We start from the raw sequence: 24,675 nt of genomic DNA, 5'->3' as shown, positions 1-24,675 counted from the left end.
ATTTGCTTAACCATGAGCACATCATCTTCTCATAACAAAAGCTGAATATGACCCTAATTTTATATTCTGTAAACTCTGTTGTGGAAATTATTAAAACAACTGTCTTCTGGGTAGTCTGTAAACATTCACTGATCTTTTTTCCTTTATTGAAGCCACAATTTAAAAAAAAAAATACTACAAATTTCAGTTTAAATTGAGAAGCCAGATATCTTTCAAAATGTATCCTTTATGTGGTAAAATAGAGAATAACATTGTTTTTAGTTAAGTAAAACTAAAGTACTGTTTCTAACTAGGTAATCTGGCCTTCCAAACACAGGAGTTTGAACAGAGAGTTCTAAAAATTAGAGTGTCTGTTCTCTGTCAGAACCTTCTGGGAAGAGTGTGTCAAATGAGCACTACTCAGGAGAAATTTCTAAGGTTTTAACTTAGTTTATACTTTAAACTGAGATTTCAGGCATGTTTCAAAATAAAGGCAATCACATCCTGTCTCTAAGATAGAGTCTATTGGGTGTCTTATATTCTGTATTATTTTGGAAATATTTTACACTTCAGGAGCAAGATATGATTTGCCTAAATGGAAAATATTCTTTCTTTAGTACTTCTTTGGCATTCCTCAGAATGCTAAATATTTTGTTGGCTGTTGGGCAAGAAGGAGATGATGATATCTCTTATTTCAAAAGCACCCTAAATTTACAGAACCCTGTAAATACTAAGAAAAAATTTTGGTGGTCTATGGTACTCTTTCTGATAAAAATAGATGCTAAAGAAGGAGCATGATATGGAAGTTGGAATAAAATTAAAAATAATCATTTTCTTCACCAAGTTCTATAAAACTATGACCCTTTATTGAAATAAAATGAGAAAACCTTGCTAAGAACTGAGCTGCAATTAATACAAAGGATATGTAAGCAACATTCTTTAGACAGCAGACTCTTCTAATTTATTTTTTGTAGACATGGGGGTCTTGCTATGTTGCCCAGGCTGGTCTCAAACTCCTGGCCTCAAGCAATCCTCCTGCCTCAGCCTCCCAACGCGTTGGGATTGCAGGCATGAGCCACCACACCCAGCCTCGACAGACTCAAAAAGGAAGGAAAATAGTCTGATAAATGAAAAGCAGGCGGCGCAGCGGTCGTTGACCTGTTGGCGGCGGCCGGGCGGGAGGCTGTGGGCCGCGGCGGTCTCCCGGGGTTGAGGGGAGGATGCAGGAGTCACACGTGGAGGCCGGACTGGACTAAGGGGGCAGGAGCGGCGACTGGGGCGCTGCGGCGGGGCTCTAGACCGCGGGAAGCCAGTGCTAGCGCTGGCGCGTGGTGGGCCCCTGAGGCCGCCGGAGTCCGGAGAGCTACGCGGAACCCGCGGCGCCAGGCCTGAGCGGTGGGAGGGCTCTGCGGGGCCTGGTGTTCAGGCGTCCCACCACGAGGGTGGAGCAGCGTTGGATACTTGTTCCTTAGGGACCGAAGGCTCTGGTGGCACCCGGGCTATTTCTCAGAGGACAATTAGTAACATGTCGCCATGAGGAGCCGGAGTAACTCCGGGGTCCGGCTGGACGGCTACGCTCGACTGGTGCAACAGGCCATCCTGTGCCATCAGAATCCAGTGACTGGCTTGCTTCCAGCCAGCTATGTTCAGAAAGATGCTTGGGTCCGAGATAATGTGTACAGCATCTTGGCTGTGTGGGGTTTGGGCCTGGCCTATCGGAAGAATGCAGACCGGGATGAGGATAAGGCAAAGGCCTATGAATTGGAGCAGAGTGTAGTGAAGCTGATGAGAGGACTACTGCACTGCATGATCAGACAGGTGGATAAAGTAGAATCCTTCAAATATAGTCAGAGTACTAAGGATAGCCTCCATGCAAAGTACAACACCAAAACCTGTGCCACTGTAGTGGGTGATGATCAATGGGGACACCTGCAGTTGGATGCTACCTCTGTGTACCTGCTCTTCTTAGCCCAAATGACTGCCTCAGGACTCCATATCATCCACAGCCTAGATGAAGTCAATTTCATACAGAACCTTGTGTTTTACATTGAAGCTGCATATAAAACTGCTGACTTCGGGATATGGGAATGTGGAGACAAGACCAACCAAGGGATCTCAGAGTTGAATGCCAGTTCAGTTGGAATGGCAAAGGCAACATTCAGATTCTCCTGTAGAACCATGGATATGTAGATGAAAACTTTCATAAGCTGCAGATTTGATATCCAACTGCTTTTGTGGCATGTCTCTACTTATATGCCATAAGGACTTGAAAGGACTTAAACTAAACTTATCATCTCTACCATTACAAAAACAAGCAAAAGAAGGCTTTTATTCCTTTCGTTTATCAGTTGACCAAGCTTTATATCAAGGAATCATCTTTCAATCCTCTATCCTCTTTATTTTCCTCCATCCCCCAAATCATCATCATCATCATCATCATCATCATTAGCAGCAGCAGCATTACTGTTCAACTTGGCTCTACTTTTTCATCCTACCCACTATTGTCTTCTCTGGAAACAAGAAGAAGACATACAATAAGATAGCAGGAATAAGATCAAACATATCCCCTCCCCCTCCCCCTCCCCTCCCCTCCCCCTCCCTCTCCCCCTCTCCCTCTCCACGTCTCCCTCTGATGCCTAGCCGAAGCTGGACTGTACTGCTGCCATCTCGGCCCACTGCAACCCCCCTGCCTGATTCTCCTGCCTCAGCCTGCCGAGTACCTGCGATTGCAGGCGCACGCCGCCACGCCTGACTGGTTTTCCTATTTTTTTGGTGGAGACGGGGTTTCCCTGTGTTGGCCAGGCTGGTCTCCAGCTCCTAACCGCGAGTGATCCGCCAGCCTTGGCCTCCCGAGGTGCCGGGATTGCAGACGGAGCCTCGTTCACTCAGTGCTCAATGGTGCCCAGGCTGGAGTGCAGTGGCGTGATCTCGGCTCGCTACAACCACCTCCCAGCCGCCTGCCTTGGCCTCCCAAAGAGCCGAGATTGCAGTCTCTGCCCGGCCGCCACCCTGTCTGGGAAGTGAGGAGCGTCTCTGCCTGGCCGCCCATCGTCTGGGATGTGAGGAGCCCCTCTGCCTGGCTGTCCAGTCTGGGAAGTGAGGAGCGCCTCTTCCCCGCCGCCATCCCATCTAGGAAGTAAGGAGCGTCTCTGCCCCGCCGCCCCGTCTGGGATGTGAGGAGCGCCTCTGCCCAGCCGCCCCGTCTGAGAAGTGAGGAGACCCTCTGCCTGGCAGCCACCCCGTCTGAGAAGTGAGGAGCCCCTCCGTCCGGCAGCCACCCCATCTGGGAAGTGAGGAGCGTCTCCGCCCGGCAGCCACCCCGTCCGGGAGGGAGGTGGGGGGTCAGCCCCCGCGAGGCCAGCCACCCCGTCCGGGAGGTGAGGGGCGCCTCTGCCCGGCCGCCCCTACTGGGAAGTGAGGAGCCCCTCTGCCTGGCCAGCCACCCCGTCTGGGAGGTGTACCCAACAGCTCATTGAGAACGGGCCATGATGACAATGGCGGTTTTGTGGAATAGAAAGGGGGGAAAGGTGGGGAAAAGATTGAGAAATCGGATGGTTGCCGTGTCTGTGTAGAAAGAAGTAGACATGGGAGACTTTTCGTTTTGTTCTGTACTAAGAAAAATTATTCTGCCTTGGGATCCTGTTGATCTGTGACCTTACCCCCCAACCCTGTGCTCTCTGAAACATGTGCTGTGTCCACTCAGGGTTAAATGGATTAAGGGCGGTGCAAGATGTGCTTTGTTAAACAGATGCTTGAAGGCAGCATGCTCCTTAAGAGTCATCACCACTCCCTAATCTCAAGTACCCAGGGACACAAACACTGCGGAAGGCCGCAGGGTCCTCTGCCTAGGAAAACCAGAGACCTTTGTTCACTTGTGTATCTGCTGACCTTCCCTCCACTATTGTCCTATGACCCTGCCAAATCCCCCTCTGCGAGAAACACCCAAGAATGATCAATAAATCAATCAATCAATAAATTAAAAAAAAAAATGAAAAGCAAAGTTCAAAATGATACGAGAACAAAAAATGTTAATAAATTTTATTGCCAATTTATTTCAGGTAAACTGTTCATTAAAAACCAGAGTGAAAATGGTGCATATGACTAGTAAGGTAAGAAGCAATACACGATTTTGGGAAAAGCCTACTTAAGCTGGACTTCTTCAGGGCTAAAGGCATTGATAACATGTCTCATACTGTGTTTCAAGAATTGACCTGAATTATTGTGGAACAAAATGATATTGAAGGGTTGTGAGCTGAATGAAGACTGCAAAACATATTAATGCTTATTCAGATGTCTAGTCACTTGGTCTTCCTACCCTGGAAAACCGCTGAAACTGGTGTAGGAAAAAAGAAAACTCATTTAAAAGAGCAGTAGGCCGAGTGATGGCAGTTTTAACATTTTTAAAGAACAAAGCCTATTCAGCCAGTCTCATACTGGGCCCTAAGCTTCTGTCTTGAATGTAAGCTCCACCCAGATACAAATATGAAGGGCGATTATGTGGAAGATGGTGATCAGCTGTTCTCTATCTCCCCTGCGTTCCAAACAATAAATGGATATAAGCCTCAGTGTGAGGGATTTGGGCAAGGAATGAGGAACAATCTTGTAAACTGAAGTGGGTTACCGAGTGAATCTTATTCTATGGAAGTCTTTTAAAAACTCATTACTATCTCCCACAACATTTATTGTCTATCTGTGACATGGGTAGCCCTGTAGTAAGAAATGTGATGAGCTACACAAGAATGAGAATCCCGAACCTGGAGAATGATCAGTACAAACATCAAATAACAAGATAGAAGCACAAAAATACATAATGACACAAATAAGAGAGCAATATGTATGTATCAATGTAATGACAGCATTTAACTAATTAAACTGGAAATTTTCTCAGTGCTCTTGGAATACTAAGGGAGTCTTCATTTTTAGCCTTGTCAGTTGACACAATTTTTAAATGAGCCTGAGTCTCATTGGCATCTCTGATCTGTATACAGTTTCTGGAAGAGCCTTCTCCTGGAGAGAATTTTCAAACAAACATTTGGCATCAATAGAATGTTTTTTAATCAAACTGTCTGTTTTCTATAGAACAGCCTTTGATTTCCAGAAGAGTCAAACTGTCTTAGAGACTGAGAACCTTAGGGCATTAGACCAGCACCAAATATATTACAGTGAAGGCTGGGATTCTGGGGAACTAGGATACCTAAGATTGAAGTACTTCTGCTGATACAGATCCAGGAAGATATTAGTGGTATTTTAGATTAAAATTTTAAGACTTCAAACAACCTGTTAACAACTGTACCCTCTTGGACTTTAAGAATCATAGACTCAATATCAGTAAGAATAGCATTCAAGAAGTTTAGTCTGGGCCGAGCGCAGTGGCTCACACCTATAATCCCCACACTTAGGAGGTCAAGGCGGGTGGATCACTTGAGGCCAGGAGTTTGAGACCAGCCTGGCCAACATGGCAAAACCCCGTCTCTACTTAAAAATAAAAAAATTAGCCAGGCACGGTGGTGTGCACCTGTAGTCCCAGCTACTCAGGAGGCTGAGGCAAGAGAACCACTTGAACCCGGAGGCAGAGGTTACAGTGAGCTGAGATTGCACCACTGCAGCCTGGGTGACAGAGTGAGACACTGTCTCAAAAAACAAAAAAAAAAAATTTATTCCGATGCAATGATGTGTCAGTCAGTGTTTAACAACTGGTTTTCCAGGCAAGGGTTGGGGGTGGTTATGTGCACAGGTACCTAATTTGTAGCATTTGCCAATTTCTATGATGTAAATGCTCTCGCTGTGGCTGACTGCAAGCTACCAAAATGATGTCACCAAAAGCAGAGTTGGGAAGAATTGTGCACACTCACCTCTCATTGCTCCAGCACACCAGTGGTCCTATGTCAAGTATACATAGAACACCAAAGTTCAGAATCATCACTTTGACTGTCACTCAGTGACAGCTACCACTGTCATTACCAAGTAGAACTTCTCCCTCCCACGTTGTCACAAACTATAAAAGTGAACCAGCCGGGCGTGGTGGCTCATGCCTGTAAATGCCAGCACTTTGGGAGGCCAAGGCGGGCGGATCACCTGAGGTCGGAAGTTCGAGACCAGCCTGACCAACATGGAGAAATCCTGTCTCTACTAAAAATACAAAATTAGCCAGGCTTGGTGACGCATGCCTGTAATTCCAGCTACAGGGGAGGCTGAGGCAGGAGAATCGCTTGAACCTGGGAGGCAGAGGTTGCCGTGAGCCAAGATCACGCCATTGCACTCCAGCCTGGGCAAACCAAACACAGGACTTCTCAGAGCTATGTTTTTTAAATCATAGAGACCAATATTTCTCAAAAAGATTCCCCCGTGATACTGCTGTTTGTAGTGTGTCACTCAGGCCTTTAAAGTTCTGGTTGATATAAACAGAAAAATCAGTTTACCAGTCAGCAGAAGAACTGATTCTTAGAAGCAGTAAGCCCACCCTTCAAAGTAAAATAATTTGGATGTTCTATTTTGGATTTTAGTATTTAGGTGTTTAAAAACTCAACACATTGGGAAATACTACGTACCATTCGATAAAAGCCCGACTAGAAACATTTCATAGCCATTACAGGATATTATTTATTTGCCAATTTTTTGAAAGAGTAGAACTTTCAGTTAACATGTCAGTTTATGGCCCACCTCCTATCTTCATTCTTGGACCTGCATGTATCTCTGTGACTCCAGGAAATGTATCTCTCATATCTTCAGTCTTGATGTAAAGGAAACAAAAGGCATTAACTTCTCCAGTGCCTGAATGCCCAAATGGCTGGTGTTCCTGCCTAGAAATCAAATACTGGGTAAGAACTGGAACCTCTAGTTGCCTTCACATTTACTTATGAATTTCTGCTTTCTGTATTTAAAAGACAAAACCATTTGGGAATTGCAAAAACTTCCCCTAAACCTTAGGAGAGAAAGCAATGGATTATCAGGACATAGTCACTCCCATCATGAGATGGCTAATATTCATACAAAACTAATAATGGTGTTCAAAATAATACTATACCTTCATCCCCATTAACAGTGAACTTGCACATGTTTACTCATTCATCTTCACAATAGTCCTCAGAGATGTCATTTTACAAATCAGGAAAGGCTCTGGAGAGCTAAAATCACCTGTTCAATGTCAAGTAACACATGTTGAATTTTGAATATTCATCTGATTATTAAATATCTGTTTCCTTCTCACTACACAATGCTGAATAACACTGGTAACATTGTTCAGTCTCAGACCCTCTACCAATGATTAGTACTGTGTTTATTCAATAAGTAGGTAATAGATGCTTTCTGTGGTGAGGCATAATGGAATCTGCCAGGATAAATAAAACATCACCATTGTCCTAATACAGTTTTGTTGTTAGGCTGCTGTTTGTCTGATTGGATGGTATTTCTTTTTTAGCTAGTTATTTAATGTAAATAATCTGCTCAGTTACAGTTGATGAACACATCTCTAAGTCAATGAGTTTTACCAGTTTCATGTACATTCTGTACTTGCATTGCTATGAAGAAATACCTGAGACTGGGTAATTTATAAAGAATAGAGGTTTAATTGGTTCTCAGTTCTGTGGGCTGTACAAGCATGGTGCCAGCATCTGCCTGACTTCTGGGGAGGCCTCAGGGAGCTTTTCCCATGGTGGAAGGCAAAGCAGGAGCAGCCATGTCACTTGGTGCCTGCTGGGTCATGATCCACCCTCATGACCCAGACATCTACCACTAGGCCCCACCTCCAATATTGGGGATTACATTTCAACATGAGGTTTGGTCAGGGACAAATATCCAAAGTATATCACTGCACATCCAAGGTCATACTCAAGATTTATTTCTTCACGAAATTTTTCTCTGACACAGTTAACAACCGTGTGACCCAGTCTTCTTAATTGCTTTGAGTTAACAGTGCTATTTTGCATTGCCGTGAGCTAATGAATTAGATTCATTGGCTGGTTCCGACTTGGTTGACATGAGCCACTGGCAAGATGACAGTGTAGAAGAAGGCAGGAAGAAGGAGGAGGAGGAAAGATCTTAGTTAAATCAACACTAAGATCTCAACCTTTGCAGCTGCCCAAGTAAGAAACAATGAAACATACGGAGGGCCTCCTGATCATTCTCCTTAGTATCACATTTTGATTCTCCCCTGATATAAAAAGAAAAATGGTAGAGAAAGTCGTGAATGATGTTATTCTGAAGCCACACAGGAAGACTTTCTGCAGATCCCCAGCACAATCCACCCTCTGTGGTACTAAAAAATTGCTAAGATACTTTTGATAGCTAGAGTTGTGCACTCCATATATGGATGAAAGGAGTTACTAAGAGAATCTTACTGCTTTGGTAATGGAGACTGATGATGGATCTTCTTGCAGATCAATGAACTTTGAATTTGACACACAAGGAATCAATGGCTCTCCTTGATGGCAAGGGATATATTGACAACTTAGGTGTTCCTCTGTTCCTCTGAGACATTTATGCACCGTAGATTTTTTTTTTGGGGGACAGAGTTTCACTCTTGTCACCCAGGCTGTAGTGTAGTGGCGTGATCTCGGTTCACTGCAACCTCCGCTTCCTGGGTTCAAGTGATTCTCCTGCCTCAGCCTCCCAAGTGGCTGGGACTACAAGCGAGTGCCGCCACACCCGACTAATTTTTGTATTTTTTTTAGTAGAGATGGGGTTTCACCATATTACCCAGACTGGTCTCGAGCTCCTGACCTCAGATGACCCACCCACTTTGGCCTCCCAAAGTGCTGGGATTGGATTACAGGCGTGAGCCACCATGCCCGGCCCCCTGCAGATCTTTAGTGGACGCTGTTAGGAAGTAAGAAGCTCTACAGAGGAGTCAGATCATATCACAAAAAAGACTGCCTCACTAGAGGTTTTCCAAGGCAAACCCTTTCCCTCAAATTCTGAATGCATGGTCAGGCCTGGGCCACTGCCAGGGTGTGGAGGTGTAGATATGTGTTTTCTAAACACTGGGAGAGCCAGACCTGGAACCACAGTTCTGTATTTCTCATATGCCAAATTTTATAAATGGAAGCCAGACCAAGAGGCATGGTTTGTGTATAGAACCACCAGATGGGACCATATGTGGAACGAAAGAGTATTTATATCCTCTGAAAGGTGGATGCTGGTTCTAAGTCATCTTAGTTTATAAATGATACCTTCTAAAACATCTCAGCTCAATGATCAAGAAGGAAATGAAAGAAAAGCTGCTTTCTTCTAATGGTGGATACCGCTTTTTTAGGCTTGAAAGGTGGTGTGATTTGGTGACATTTCTGAACTACTAAAAACCAATGTATTTATAAACTATTTCTAGGAGAGATTGAAATAATTGTTAAGCTACGATGGGGTGAGGCAGAGAAAGGGGCGCAGAGATCTTAATAAAAATTAAATATTATGTTGGGGAGAACTAAAGAAAAAGCATCAAAGGATAAGTAGAAATACAGAACTAAACTGGGTGTTTATACCAACACCCTTTAATCTAAGGAGAGAACATCACTTCCTATTCACAATGTAATTAGGTGAAATTATATGAAGTTGCTGATATTCAACCATCTTTGACCTAAAAATGTTCATGGAAAATGGTTCAATTTAAACTAGAAACTATTGGAAACAAGGTAGATTTATAAAATATGTAAAAAGCACACTAAAATTATCCCTTGGCTTACTAAAAGTGAATGCTAGAAAAACAATAACCCAAAATAAATTATTTTTTAATGATAGAGTCAACTCACTAACCCTAAATACTTACGGATTTTTGGTCCAAAGTACTGCATATGCCCAGGGATGATTTAAGGAAACAGCAGGTTTAGAGAGAAAGCAAGTTTAGTTAAGCAAGCATTTTTGTATTAATCTCAAAGAAATTTAACACCAAGCAGTGTGTTCTATTTTTCAGAATCTAGAGGAAGATAACTGTAGAAAAGGGGCACATGCTGGCGAGTATCAGTGTCTTCCTGCACTCATGGTATGGAACCTCCTCAAGCTGTGGAGTCTCACCCACAGCATAACCTTGACCTGCGATAGCACCCACCGTCCACCACCACCCTATAGCAAGGGAGATAATGTGTTTCTGTGAGCAAACAGGTGTTGGATCTGGCTGTGACAGCCTTGCTCTGGCCCATCCAGGTGCAGGTGGGATGTGAACTCTGTCTGAGGAGGGCCTGTTGGCATGTTAGACCTGCCAGTGCTCATTTATGGTTTCTTGGTCATTTGAGACCAGCTGTCTGTTTACTAACATCTTAAAAGGCCATAGAGCACTTTTTGGTTGTAAACATAAGAGGAAAGTAGGCCAGACTTTTGGAAGGAATATTGAGTAAAAATGTGACTTTTTTTCCTTATTAAATTTAAGAGTAATCTGATGTATAAAGGGGGAGGCAAAATAATATATTTATAGAATTTTTATGGGGTAAAAAGGGAAAGAGAAGCTATCAAATTTTCCCAAAATTATGGGGAAGTACTATGGGGATAAACCAATTCTTTAGTATAGTTTTGATCAAGACATAAGCATTTATGAGGGACTTGAGAGTTTACAATGCTTTTTCATACACAACCATCCTCATAGGGCTTCTATGACATGGGTATCATTTTCTTGATCTTATAGAAAAAGAAACCGAGGCCTCTTCCTAAAAGTTTAGTGACTTCTCCAGGGTCATAATTAGTAAGCCAAAGAGGGATGTTCCAGATGTAAGTTTTACTGAGGTTTATTGCATGGTAGAAGGAAAAGAGCCATGCTTTGACATCATGCATACCTAGGTTTGATGCCTGATGCCTGATACTGTTCCTTATTGTGTTACTTCATTTCTTATTCTCAAATTATCCTCTCTTACCTTCAGTTTCATCATGTGCAAAATGGCAATGATAATCCCTTTTTAAGAAAGTTGTTGTGAAGATTAAACGTAATATAGGGAAAGTACATAAATCATTGTAGGTACTCAAAAGATGATAAATTTATAAAAATTTAAAACCTCTTCTAAAGTCAACATTAAGAAAATGCAAAGGCAAGCCACAGACTGGGAGAATACATGTCTTCAAATATATATTTCTTTAAAAAAGACTTGTATCTGGAATAAAAAAGCAAAAATTTGAACAAATGAAGATATGTAAAAGAAGATATGTAAGTGGCCAATTGTCATATGAAAAGATATTCAATATCATTAATCAGGGCAATGCAAATTAAAACCACCACTTTGTTCCAATTATCTATTGTGTGACAAACCAGCTCCAAATATAGTGGTTTAAAAACAATGACAACATTTATTTTACCAACGTACTTGCAAACTAGTATGGCCTTAGGAGGGACAGCTCACCTCTGCTCCATTAGGCATTAGCTGAGGCCACTTAAATGCTGGGGCTGGAATTATCTGAAAGCTCATTCACTCATTTGTCTGGCAGTTGATGCTAGCCATCAGCTAGGATGATAACTGGGGTCGTTAGCTAAACACTTGCACATGGCCTCTCCGTATAGCCTGGGATTCTTCTCAACATGGCCAGATTCCAAGAGCAAGCATCCCAAGAGAGAGAACTAAGTAAAAATGCTATCACCTTTTAAAATCTAGCCTCAGAAGTTGAAGTCATACATCAACATTCTATCTTATTCTATTCATTAAAAGCAAGTCATTAAAGCTGGCCCATATTTAAGGGGAGAAGAAGAGTGTCAAAGAATTTGCAAACATGTTTATAGCAATCACAGTCTGTCACACATTATTTACATTCCTGCTTCATGCAGAACATATTCAAACCTCCCTGAAGACTCTTAACAGTATCAGAACCAGGTTTAAGTTCAAAGATTTCACCATCTAAATCAGATCCAGAGGCAGCTGAGGCTCCTTGGATGTGATTCCCTAAGTACAGCTCCTGAAGTACAGTTCTTGATGTGAAGACCTGTGAACTACAAAGAAATCTTCTCTCCCCTCCCTCAGTATACAATGGTGGGGCACGAAAACTGCTTTAGATCCATTCAAAAAGGTGGAAAATGAAGTACACAGAAGTTATTGCTCCATAGACTTTTAAAAATCTGGCAGGGCACATGTTGCCAGTTTCTTGATTAGTGCTTAGTCCTACTGCCTGGGAATGATTCCCTACAGCTCTTGGCTCTTCCCTCTGGGCTTTTTGTCATCTTTTCTTGAATTTGAGAGTCATCCTGCCTTGCACATAAGAAATGGTCTATGAGGCTACCAAGTAGATTTCTCAGCCTGCTTCCTGAACTTAGTAGTTTTGAGAGCCAAAACTTTCCTATCATTTTGTAGTGTCTCAGTCTCTTTCAGTTCAAGCTGGCAGTGTTTGCTGATACAATTTTCTTAAAAACTTTGTTGGTTTTCTATGAGTCTTATCGAGATTCAATCCATTAGACAAAAGCTGCACTCACAAGTCTTGTCAAGGTAAGTTATTCTTCTTGGGCTTCCTACAAGGTTCTGTGGGACAACAACCATAAGATCCTTAGGAGCCCTATTGTTTAATAGAGAGGATCTGTAAGGCATACTCTTAAGAGGCACCATCTTAAATCTTTCTGAAGTCTTACCAAAAGTCTTACAGTCATATGTTGGACTGCAATTATATACCATGTTTTCCTAACAGCCCTCCTAGATTTGAACTCTGTCCCAAATCCATTTCTTAATTTTAGCAACATTTGCCATCTGGAAAAGCTGGCAATGAGAGACAATTTTCTTTTCCAAACCAGCAAGCGCTTGTTAGTTTATATTTAACAGTCGTTCTTCAGCACTTCTTTCTTCTTTTGCTTTTACTGTAAGCAGCCAAAAGGACCTAAATAAGAAACTGAACATTTTGCCCGGAAATCTTCTTAGCTAGAACATCCAATTCATTGTGTAAATTTCCTAGTTTTCATGTTATTGAAACAAACAATGAAGTTCAACTTTCATTCCCATGTAATAATGGTCCCCTTCTCTCCAGTTTCCAATAACATTTTTCAAGTTCCTGTAATCCCTGTAATCCCAACAGCCTCCTTGAGGGCCATCAAGTTTCTGCTAAGAGTATCTTTAAGACCATTTTGACTTTAATTAACAATCCGTTTGAGGTCCTTCAAGCTTGCACCCAAAGCCAGTACCTATAATTGAGATTTTGGGTTACAGCAGCACACCTCTTTCAGGTACCTGACAATGATGGCTAATACTGAGGGTCAACTTGATTGTATGGAAGGATGCAAAGTATTGATCCTGGGTGTGTCTGTGATGGTGTTGCCAAAGGAGATTAACATTTGAGTCAGTGGGCTGGGGAAGGCAGACCCACCCTTAATCTTGTGGGCACAATCTAATCAGCTGCCAGCAAATACAAAGCAGGCAGAAAAATGTGAAAAGGAGATACTGGCCTAGCCTCCCAGCCTACATCTTTCTCCTGTGCCAGATGCTTCCTGCCCTCAAACATTGGACTCCCAGGTTCTTCAGTTTTGAGACTCGGACTGGCTCTCCTTGCTCCTCAGCTTGCAGATGGCCTATTGTGGGACTTTGTGATCATGTAAGTTAATACTTAATAAGCTCCTATATTAGTTCTGTCCCTCTAGGGAACCCTGAGTAATACGCTGACTGTATTCCAATTTCCTATTTACCTATTGCTGTATTTTAAAACACTCCAAAACTTAATAGTGTAAAACAATAACATTGAGTTTATCCATGAAACTGCAACTTGAGCAGGGTTCGATAGGGGTATACTTATCCCTACTCCACTTAGCTAGGGCTACTTAATGGAAAGGGACTAGAATCCACTGAAGGCTCATTCACTCATGTCTGGTAATTAATACTGGCCATTAGCTTAGACTGTAGCTGGGCTGTTGTCTCAAACACAATCATGTAGCCTATCCATATATTCTGGGCATTCTTCCAAAATGATGGCTGTCACCATTTGTCACTTATTCCAAGGATAAGTGTTTCAAGAGACAGCCAGGTGGAAATTGCATCATCTTTTTCAACCTAACCTTGGAAGACATTCAGCATTACTTCTGCTGCATCTATTCATTAAAAGTTTTTCACTAAGGAGTGATGTCAGATGAGAAACTCTGAAATTTCACCCCTCCAAAAAAGCAATGTAAAAACTGACAAAAACTGTCTGAATCAACTTTTTCAGAACTCAAGAAATAAACTAAAGTCTTGAAGCAAGCTGAGGAATGCCTATTCAAGAAAAACAGCTGAATCTCAGCAATAACAGTGAGCTTGGTGGCATTTTAATATACCTTGCTCCCATTCCCACTCCCCAACTCAGCAGTTGCCTTAAAAATAACAGTCCACAATCCAGGCACCTGAGGGAGCAGAATGGGTTTCATTCATAAAGAATTACTTGACCTGCCTGGTGGCTTCCTGGAAGATCAGCCAGAAAGGCTTCTCTTTATTTAAGTTGACTCAGAACTTGTCCAGTGCTAAAGCTGCCACACAAGTGGCATTTATTGAAACATTTACAGGCAAATGTTTCAGTTGCTGCTGGCAGGGATGATGGATAACAGTTGGGGCAAACAGTAGACTAATGAAAAAGTTTGAGAGAAAAGGCTGGGGAAAGATGTTCATATGGGCTTTGAAAAACAACATATTTCTTGGACTCTAGACGGCCACACACATAGCATAGGGCTCTGTGCATGCTCGGGAAAGCCCCAAGAAGGCCCTAGGCTATCACCTCTGGCTGACCTTGAAGCTCTGCACAAGCAGAAAGTGAAGGCTAAGGCAGAGTTGCAACTGCCTGCCTGAGTGCTGAAGATGTGCCCTAACATACACACGAAGCTCCTCAGCAAAGACAGATATTTTTTTGGCTCAAGGCATTTAAGGAAATTTCAGTGCAATTATTAGCTGACCACTCAATTAACCAAACAGAGACTGCAGTGACATCACACAACAGAGAATATAGCTTTATGGGACTGGTTCAGAAAAGTTGCCAAACAATAACTACTACCATAATCAGCAACAATGAACCCTGAGGAAAGTGAGAAAATCTGATTCCCTGACTTGCCATATTATATTATTTAATATGCCCAGTTTCAACAAAAATTTACAAGACATAAAAAGAAACAAGAAAGAATGTCCCACACTCAGGATAAAAGTAATCAGTAGGAAATGTCCAGAAGAGGCTCAGATGTTGGACTTTCTGGGCAAAAACTTCAAATCAGCTATTTTGAATATATTCAGAGGAGACCACATTTAAAGAACTAAAGTATGAGAATGATGTCTCACAAATAGAGACTATCAATAAAGAAATAGAAATTATAAAAAGAAAACAAATAGAAATTGATGGAGTTGAAAAGTACAATAACTGAAATGAAAAATTTACTAGAAGTGCTCAATAACAGATATGAGTTAGCAGAAACAGATTAAAAAAGAATAGATCAACTGAGATTATCTAAACTGAGAAAGAAAAAAATTTAAGAAAAGCAAATAGTCTCAGACACCTGGGGTACACCATAAAGCATACCAATATAAGCATAGTGGAAGTTCTAGAAGGAGAGAGAAGTGAAAGAAAAGGGCAGAAAGAATATTAGAGAATTTAATACTCAATCGTTGCCCAAAATTGATGAAAAACTTAATCTACACTTCCAAAAAATTCAACAAACTCCAAGTTGGATAAACTCAAAGAGATTTATACCTAGACATATAATCAAACTGTCAAAAGCCAAAGCCAAAGAGAAAAATCTTGAAAGCAGCAAAAGCAACTCATCACATACAAGAGATCTGCTATAAGATTAACAGCTGATTTATCCTCAGAAACTATGGAGGTCAGAAGGCAGTGTGATGTGATTACCTAGTCAAAGTACTGAAAGAAAAAAACCTGTCATCAACTAAAAATTCTATATCTAGCAAAACTAGCCATCAAAAATGAAGGAGAAATTAAGATATTCCCAGATAAACAAAACAGAGAGTATGTTGCTATCAGACTTTCCCTACAAGAAATGCTAAAGGGAGGCTTTTAGCAGAATAGATAAAAAAAGACATGATCCATTTATATGCCGTGTATAGGAGACTCATTTTAGAATCAAATATACAAATAGGTTGAGAGTAAAAGGATGGAAAAAGATATTCCATATAAACGGTAACTAAAAGCTGGAGTGGAGATACTAATATGAGACACAATAAATGTTAAAACAAATGTTGTTACTAGAGGCAAAGAAGGATGAAATATCAAGGCATCAAGAATATATGACAATTCTAAGCATATATAACGTATACAACAGAACCCCAAAATACATGAAGCACAAACGGACAGAATGGAGAAATAGTTTAGAAATGTCAAAAATTGGAAACTTCAGTACCCCACTTTCAGTAATGCATAAACAACTAGGCAGAAGATCAGCAAGGAAACAGAAGCCTTGAACAACATTATAAGCTATCTAGACCTAACACATCTAAAGAAAACTCTACTCAACAATAGTAGAATACACATTCTTCTCAGCTGCACATGGAACATTCTTCAGGATAGAACATGTGTTAGACCATAAACAAACCTCAATAAAATTTAAAAAATTAAAATCATACACAGTGTTTTTTCCAACAACAAAGGAATGAAATTAGAAATCAATAATAGGGGCCGGGTGCAGTGGCTCACACCTGTAATCCCAGCACTTTGGGAGGCCAAGGTGGGTGGATCACCTGAGGTCAGGAGTTCGAAACATGCCTGGCCAACATGGAGAAACCCTGTCTCTACTAAAAATGCAAAAATTAGCCAGCTGTGGTGGCAGGCGCTTGTAATCCCAGCTACTCAGGAGGCTGAGGAAGGGGAATTGCTTGAACCCGGGAGGCAGTGGAGGTTGCAGTGATCTGAGATTGTGCCACTGTACTCCAGCCTGGGCAACAAGGGCGAAACTCTGTCTAAAACAAACAAACAACAACAACAAAAAAAAACAAAACCAGCAACAAATCCATAATAGGAAGAAAACTGAGAAATTCACAAATATGTGGAAATTACACTTCTGAGTAATTAAGGGGTCAAAGAAAACCAACATAACTAAAAGCTGGTTCTCTCATTCCCTCAAAAAAAAAAAAAAATCAACAAAATTGACAAATCTCTAGATAGACCAAAGAAAGGAAGAGAGTAGACTCAAATTACTAAAATCAGAAATGAAAGAAGGAACATTTCTGCTGGCCTTACAGATAAAAAGGAGTATAAGGGAATACTTATTGTATTCCAATAGATAATTGTATGCCAACATATTAGGTAACTAGATGAATTGTATTAATTTCTAGAAACACACAAAATACCAAATCTGATTCAGGAAAAATAGTAAACATGAATAGACCTACAATGAAGAGATTGCATTAGTAATCAAGAAACACTTCCAACAAAGAAAAGTCGAGGATCAGATGGCTTCCCTATTGAATTCTCCTGAACATTTAAAGAATACTTGACACCAATTCTTCTCAAATTCTCCCAAAAAATGGAAGGGGAGGGAATGCTTCATAACTCATTCTGTGAGGCCAATATTACATTGATACCAAGGCCAGACATCATAAGAAAACTACGGACCAATATCCCTTGTAAATAGAGATGCAAAAGTCCTCAACAAAATACTTACAAACCAAATTGAGCAGTATAGAAAGAGGATTGCACACTATGACCAAGTGGAATTTATCCCAGGAATGGAAAGTTGATTCAAAATATGAAAATCAGTATATCACACCATATTAATAGAATTGAGTAAAATTTGTTACTATTGAGTAACATCTCAATAGATGCAGGAAATACCATTTGACAAAATCCAGCATTCTTTCATGATAAAACATTCAACAAACTAGAAATATAAGGGATCTTCCTCAACTTGATAAAGGGCATCTATGAAAAACCCTCAGTCAACATCATATTTAATGGTGAAAGACTGAACACTTTCCCCCTAAGATTAGGAACAAGTCAAGGATGTCTGGTCTCACTGCTTCCATTCAATATTGTACTGGAAGGGCAATTAGTGAAGAAAATAAAAGAAAAAGACATCCTGATTGGGAAGAAAAAGGTAAAACAATCTCTATTTGCAAATGACATAATCTTATATAGGTAGAAAGCCCTAAAAAACCTACAAAAAACTATTAGAGCTAATTAGTATCAGCAAAGTTGCAGGATATGAGATTAATATACAAAAATCAGTTGTATTTCTATAAATTAGCAATGAAAAATCAGAAAATGAAATGAAAACAATTTCATTTACAATAGCACCAACAAACATAAATTCTTAATAATAAATTTAACCAAAGAAGTGTAAGATTTATATACTGAAAACCACAGCACATCATTGAAAGAAATTAAAAAGACCTGGTCGGGTGTGGTGGCTCACGCCTGTAATCCCAGCACTTTGGGAGGCCGAGTCAGGCGGATCACGAGGTCAGGAGATCGATACCATCCTGGCCAGCATGGTAAAACCCTGTCTCTACTAAAAATACAAAAAAATTAGCCAGGCGTGGTGGTGGGCGCGTGTAGTCCCAGCTACTCGGGAGGCTGAGGCAGGAGAATGGCATGAACTCGGGAGGCAGAGCTTGCAGTGAGCCGAGATCGCGCCACTGCACTCCAACATGGGTGACAGAGCAAGACTCTGTCAAAAAAAAAAAAAAAAGAAGACCTAAATAAATGGAAAGACATCCTGTGTCTTGGATTGGAAAATATTGTTTAGATGAAAGAACTCCCCAAATAGATCTACAAATTCAATGCAATTCTCTATGAAAATTCCAATGGCTTTCTTTTGAAGAAATGGAAAAGCTGGTTCTAAAACGTATATGGAAATGCAAGGAACCCTGAATAGCCTAACAGTTTTTTTTAAAGAACATAATTGGAGACACACAGTTCCCAATTTCAAAACTTACTGCAGCAATCAACACAGAGTGGTACTGGCATAAGGATAGACATAAATCCGTGGAATAGAATTGAGACTTCACAAAGAAACCCATACATAGATGTTCAGTAAGGGTGCCAAGACCATTCAATGGACAAAGAACAGTCTTTTCAACAAATGGCGTAGGAATAACTAGCTATCCTAGTACAAAATGCAAAAGAATGAATTTGGACCACTATCTTACACCATATAGAAAAATTAACTCAAAATAAATCAACAATCTAAATTTTGTCAGAGCTAAAACTTTAAAAACTCTTTTTTTTTTTTTTTCTCAGACGGAGTCTCGCTCTGTCACCCAGGCTGGAGTGCAGTGGTGCGATCTCCGCTCACTGCAAGCTCTGCCTCCCGGGTTCACACCATTCTCCTGCCTCAGCCTGCCGAGTAGCTGGGACTACAGGCACCCGCCACCACGCCTGGCTAATTTTTAAAACCTCTTAAAGGGAAACAAATGTAAAGTTTTTCGGGTTTAAGACTTAGGCAACAGTTTCTTACGTATGACAGCAAAACATAAACAACAAAAGAATAGGTAATTGGACTTCATCGAAATTAAAAGTTTTGCATCCAAAGACACTATCAAGAATGTGAAAAAACAATCTACAGAATGGAAGAAAATGTTTGCAAATGATATATCTGATAAGGATCTAGTGTCCAGAACATATAAAGAACTCTTACACTTCAAAAATAACCCAATTTTAAAACAGGCAAGGAGTTTGAATAGACATTTCTCGAAAAAAGATATACAAATGGCCAATAAGCACATTAAAAGATGTTCAACATCATGTCAGTAGGGAAACACAAGCCAAAACCACAATGAGAAATACTTTACACCCACTAGGATGGATTTATAAAAAAGACAGACACTAAAAATATTGCCAAGGATGTGGAGAAATTGGAACCTGCATATATTGCTGGTGGGATTGTAAATTAGTGCAGCCACTTTGGAAAAGTTTGGCAGTTCCTCAAAAAGGAAGAAATGAAAACATATTCACACAAAAATTTGTACATGAATTTTCATACTAGCATTATTCAAAATAGCCCCAAAGTGGAAACAACCCAATATACATCAAATGGTGAATGAGTAAACAAATTGTGGTGTATCTGTGCAATGAAATAATATCCATAAGAAGGAATCAAGTATTGATGCAGGCTGTAATGTGGATGAACCTTAAAAACATTATGCTCAGTGAAAGAAGCTGGACATGAAAGGCCAGATACTATATGATTCCATGTATGACATGTCCAGAATAGGCAAATCCATAGACAGAAAGCAGATTAGTGTTTGCTAGGGAATGGGAAGTGAGGTGGAGATGGGAGGAAATTGGAAGTGACTGATAACAGTATAAAGTTTCTTTTTGGTGTTAAAGAAATGTTCTGGCCCGGGCGTGGTGGCTCACGCCTGTAATCCCAGCACTTTGGGAGGCCGAGGTGGGTGGATCATGAGGTCAGGAGTTCGAGACCAGCCTGGCCAATATGGTGAAACCTCATCTCTACTGAAAATACAAAAATTAGCCGGGTATGGTGGTGCGCACCTGTAGTCCCAGCTACTCGGGACAGAAGAATCGCTTGAACCCAGGAGGCAGAGGTTGCACTGAGCTGAGATTGTGCCATTGCACTCCAGCCTGGGCGACAGAGCAAGACTCCATTTCACACAAAAAAAAGAAAGGAAATGTTCTGACATTAGATACTTGTAATAGTTGCACATCATTATGAATATATGGAAAACTAGTCACTCAATTGTACGGTTTTAAATTGTAAATTTTATGTTAATTATATTTCAATAAAAACAATTACAAGGATGAAAATAAAAAGTTACTAAATCCAGCTCATATGCAATGGAAGGGGAGTTAGACTCCACCTGTTGATAGGTGAAGTGTCAAAGAGTTTGTTGGTCCAATGTTTCCACACCACACATGCTATATACCCATTAGGATGACTGAAATTAAAAAGATTGACAATAAATATTGGCAAAGATATGGAGCAACCAAAATCTCACACTTTGCTAGTGAGAATGTATGATAATACAATCACTCTGGGAGACATTTTGGCAGTTTCTTTTAAAGTTAAACACATGTTTACCTTGACCAATGATATACTTATTATGACAATCACATTCCTAGGTATTCATTCAAGAGAAACAAAACATATTCACACAAAGACTTGTACACAAGTATGTAGAGCAGCTTTATTCGTTATAGTCCAAATCTGGAAATGACCTAAATGTCCATTAACAGTAATGAATAAACAAATTGGTTTATCCAAACAATGGAATATTACTCAGCAAGAAAAATAGATGAACTACTGAAGCATGAAAAAAATGAGTAAATTTCAAAAGCAAGCTGAGAGAAAGAAGCCAGACATACACAAAAAAAGTAAGATATGGTTCCAATTTACATGAAACTACAGAAAAGACAAATCTAATGTGTAATGACATAAAGCAAATCAGTGGTTTCCTGGAGTTGGAGTGGGATGCATTTACTGCAAAGGGACACAGGCAACTTTTTTGGGTGATGAAATGTTCTATACCTTGATCATGGTAGTAGTACACAAATTTGTCAAAACACACAGAAATGTACACTTAAGTGGGTACATTTGATGGTATATATTACATCTCAAGAAAGTTAAGGAAAAAAAAATACATCCAGAATGCAACCCCTTCTTACCATCTCCACTATTTCCATCCTGATCAAAGTCACCATCATTTATCACATGGCTTATTGCAATAGGCTTCTTTTTTTTTTTTTTTGACAGAATATCGCTCTGTCACCCAGGCTGGAGTGCAGTGGCTCGATCTTGGCTTACTGCAACCTCTACCTCCCGGGTTCAAGCAATTCTTCTGCCTCAGCCTCCCGAGTAGCTGAGACTACAGGTGCACGCCACCGCACCCAGCTAATTTTTGTATTTTTAGTAGAGACAGGGTTTCGCCATATTGGCCAGGCTGGTCTTAAACTCCTGACCTTGTGATCCGCCCACCTTGGCCTCCTAAAATGCTGGGATTACATGCTTGAGCCATCGCACCCGGCTTGCAATAGGCTTCTAATAGATTTTCTATTCTTACTTTCGTCGTATTCTCAATCCGTAAGTCTTTACGTGATCTGCCTCCACCCTCCACCCTGGCTTCTGTCTGCCTTCTCTTCTATTAATTCCCCTTACTTGTTTTGGTCCAGCCATTCTAGCCACAGAATATTCCTCTTCAAACATACGAGACATATTCTGTTAAAAGGTAACAGAAACTTTTAAAAGGTTATTTGAGCAAACAGGGATGCATGAATCAAGAAGCACCAAACCAAAAGGTGGTTTAAGCCCTCACTAAGGAATGCAAAAGGAAATATTTTATAGGACAAACACAGAAGTAAGCAAAGAGATGGCATGGTGGCTGACACCTGTACTCCTACCACTTAGGGAGGCCGAGGTGGGCAGATTGCTTGAGCCCAGGGGTTCAAGACCAGCCTGGGCAACATGGCAAAACCCTGTCTCTACAAGAACTACAAAAAATAGCTGGGTATGATGGATAGGGCCTGTAGTCCCAGCTGCTCGGGAGACTGATGTGAAAGGATGGCTTGAGCCCAGGAGGTCGAGGCTGTACTCCCACTGCACTCCAGCCTGGGTGACAGAGTGAGACCCTGTCTCAAAAAAAAAAAAGAAAAAGAAAAAAAAGCCAGACACGATGACTCGAGCCTGTAATCCCAACACTTTGGGAGGCCAAGGCAGGCGGATCATGATGTCAAGAGTTCGAGACCAGCCTCGCCAACATGGGGAAACCCTGTCTCTATTAAAAATACAAAAATTAGCTGGGCATGGTGGTGCATGCCTATAATCCCAGCTACTCAGGAGGCTGAGACAGGAGAATCACTTGAACCCAGGAGGTGGAGGTTGCAGTGAGCCGAGATACTTTCATTGCACTCCAGCCTGCGCAATAGAGTGAGACTCCATCTCAAAAAAAAAAAAAAGTAATCAAAGAAACTATTTGATTGATTACAATTATACATGTGTCTCATTTAGTCTATCCTGCTGGAAAGTCCCTAGTTATAATAAGTTAGTTGGCAGCTTCTGATTGGTTACCTTTAAATTTCATTTTTCTTAATACAGGTGTCTACAAGAAATTGATCAAATTAGGTTTCCCTCATGTTTGCAAATTAAGCAAGGTTAAGGTCACTCATGAGGCCCAACTGGCTTTGTCTGCTCAGGGATTCTTCAGGCCTGGTCTCCATACTAATTCTTATCTCAGAGCCCGTACCTTGCTGTTCCGTTTGCTCTGAATGTTTTTCCCCAGGATCTCTACATGGCTTTCTTTCTCCCTTCTTCAAGTCTTTACTCAAATGTCACCTTTTCTATGAGGTCTTCCTTCCATGACCACCTTATTTAAAATTGCAAGCCCTTCTCTCTAAGTTTAAAGACAATTTGGCAATTTGGGGAGATTTTTAATAAAGTAAATAGTAAATAATATGAAAATAATTGTTTGATTTTTTTTTCATGAAATGTTAGATGAGGGTCTGCTCAGCATCTAATTGTGTGGGCTCAAATTTGTAGTAGCTCAGTTTGCTAACCCATAAATGCAGATGCCTCTGATAAACTCTTAGGAGCCTCAGGAAGTTTCACAGCATTTGAAAGTTTCACAGTCACAGCAGTTTGAAAGTGAAGTGGGAAGCTCACTGAAATTTGCCAATGCTGTGTTCATTGTGACTCACTGATGGGAGACCAAGGATTCCCATGCCATAGGTTAGGTGACAGTTGGGCTGTTACTTCCAAACAGAAAGGGCATAACTTGACCAAGGACTGCTTTTTGAAAACAAAAATATTCCAGCATACTCATAACCAAAAAGAGCTGTTTGCAACAGAATCCCTTCCATTCCTATCCTTCCCATCTCCCTCCCCTAAAGCTTTAAGTAACAGTTAACAGATGCGAAAAAATAAAAATAAAAAACCCTCCAGGGACTATGTGAACCTAAAAAAAAAACCCGAATATTTGAAATATTCGAGAAATCTTCTGCTTTTTATTGTAACAAATAAAGGATCTGTGAAGGCCAGATTCTCCATGGAGACTGAGAATAAGATTAGGCCTAAGGCCAGCTGAGAAAAAAAAAGGTACTGTTAAGGGCATATTTAATATGAATGATTTCTAAAGTGCTCGTAATTTCTTAGTTTTTCCCTCTGAAATGGATGAAGTAATAACTGGCATCTCAAAGATATGTTATTCTCCCAAGACAGTATCTCCTTCTCAAGAGAAAGAAAGGCCCAGAATTGCTATGGCAGGAGTTCTCAAACTTGTTTTGGGATGAGGTATTATTGAGTGGAGGTTGTGGGGGCCCTCACCTGACAGTGACCTGCAAAGGGGAGAAAAGGGGCAGGAGGGGAAGAAGACAGGGAGGGCAGATTGTGGGCTAGGAGGGAAAGTGGCTTGCTTGGAGTTATGTCTGTGTCAGAAATAAAAATATGTATTAAATTCAAAGTGTTTTCCTTCCTTACCATCTCACCTTTCCTTGTCTCTACTGGACCTTATCACTGCTGGGCCTGGAGGTGAGAACTGATGGGAACTGAAAGAGACTAGATTATACCATGTGGATAAAAAGCCAACAGAGTCCCCAGACAAGCCCTGGAGGCAGGGCAGTGAGGAGAGAGCCATAACCCAGAGCTTTGGGAGTCCGAGCATTGCCAATAAATGTGGCTTTGCCAATAGACAAAGAAGAGCTTTAGGGAGTTTTCTTGTGTGTTGTGAGGTGTGATTTGCCTTTTATTGCTCTCTCAGAAAGGGTTTCCATAAAGATGTATATTAACCTCAAGACTTTTGGAGTTGGAATGAAGCTGACACTGTGGCCTTAAGGTACATTTAGTGGCAAAACTGACACTAGAACTCTGTCTTCCTGAAATTTTTGTTTGCTACTAAAAAATTACCA

At 40.9% G+C, this 24,675-nt stretch overlaps 1 pseudogene, besides 1 other annotated feature; it reads left to right on the top strand.

The window, feature by feature from the left end:
* On the top strand, positions 1,116-2,135 carry PHKA1P1 (phosphorylase kinase regulatory subunit alpha 1 pseudogene; annotated as a pseudogene).
* Positions 3,327-4,006: an enhancer, noted in NCBI's record as "NANOG-H3K27ac hESC enhancer chr1:91356676-91357355 (GRCh37/hg19 assembly coordinates)". NCBI's record gives its function as "activates a minimal SCP1, AML or CMV promoter by ChIP-STARR-seq in primed H9 embryonic stem cells {active_cell/tissue: H9 hESC(primed)}" and the evidence as "EXISTENCE:reporter gene assay evidence [ECO:0000049][PMID:30033119]".

Source organism: Homo sapiens, chromosome 1, assembly GCF_000001405.40.
Source record: "Homo sapiens chromosome 1, GRCh38.p14 Primary Assembly".
Classification (NCBI taxonomy): Eukaryota; Metazoa; Chordata; class Mammalia; order Primates; family Hominidae; genus Homo; species Homo sapiens.
This window is presented reverse-complemented; position numbering and strand designations above follow the sequence as displayed.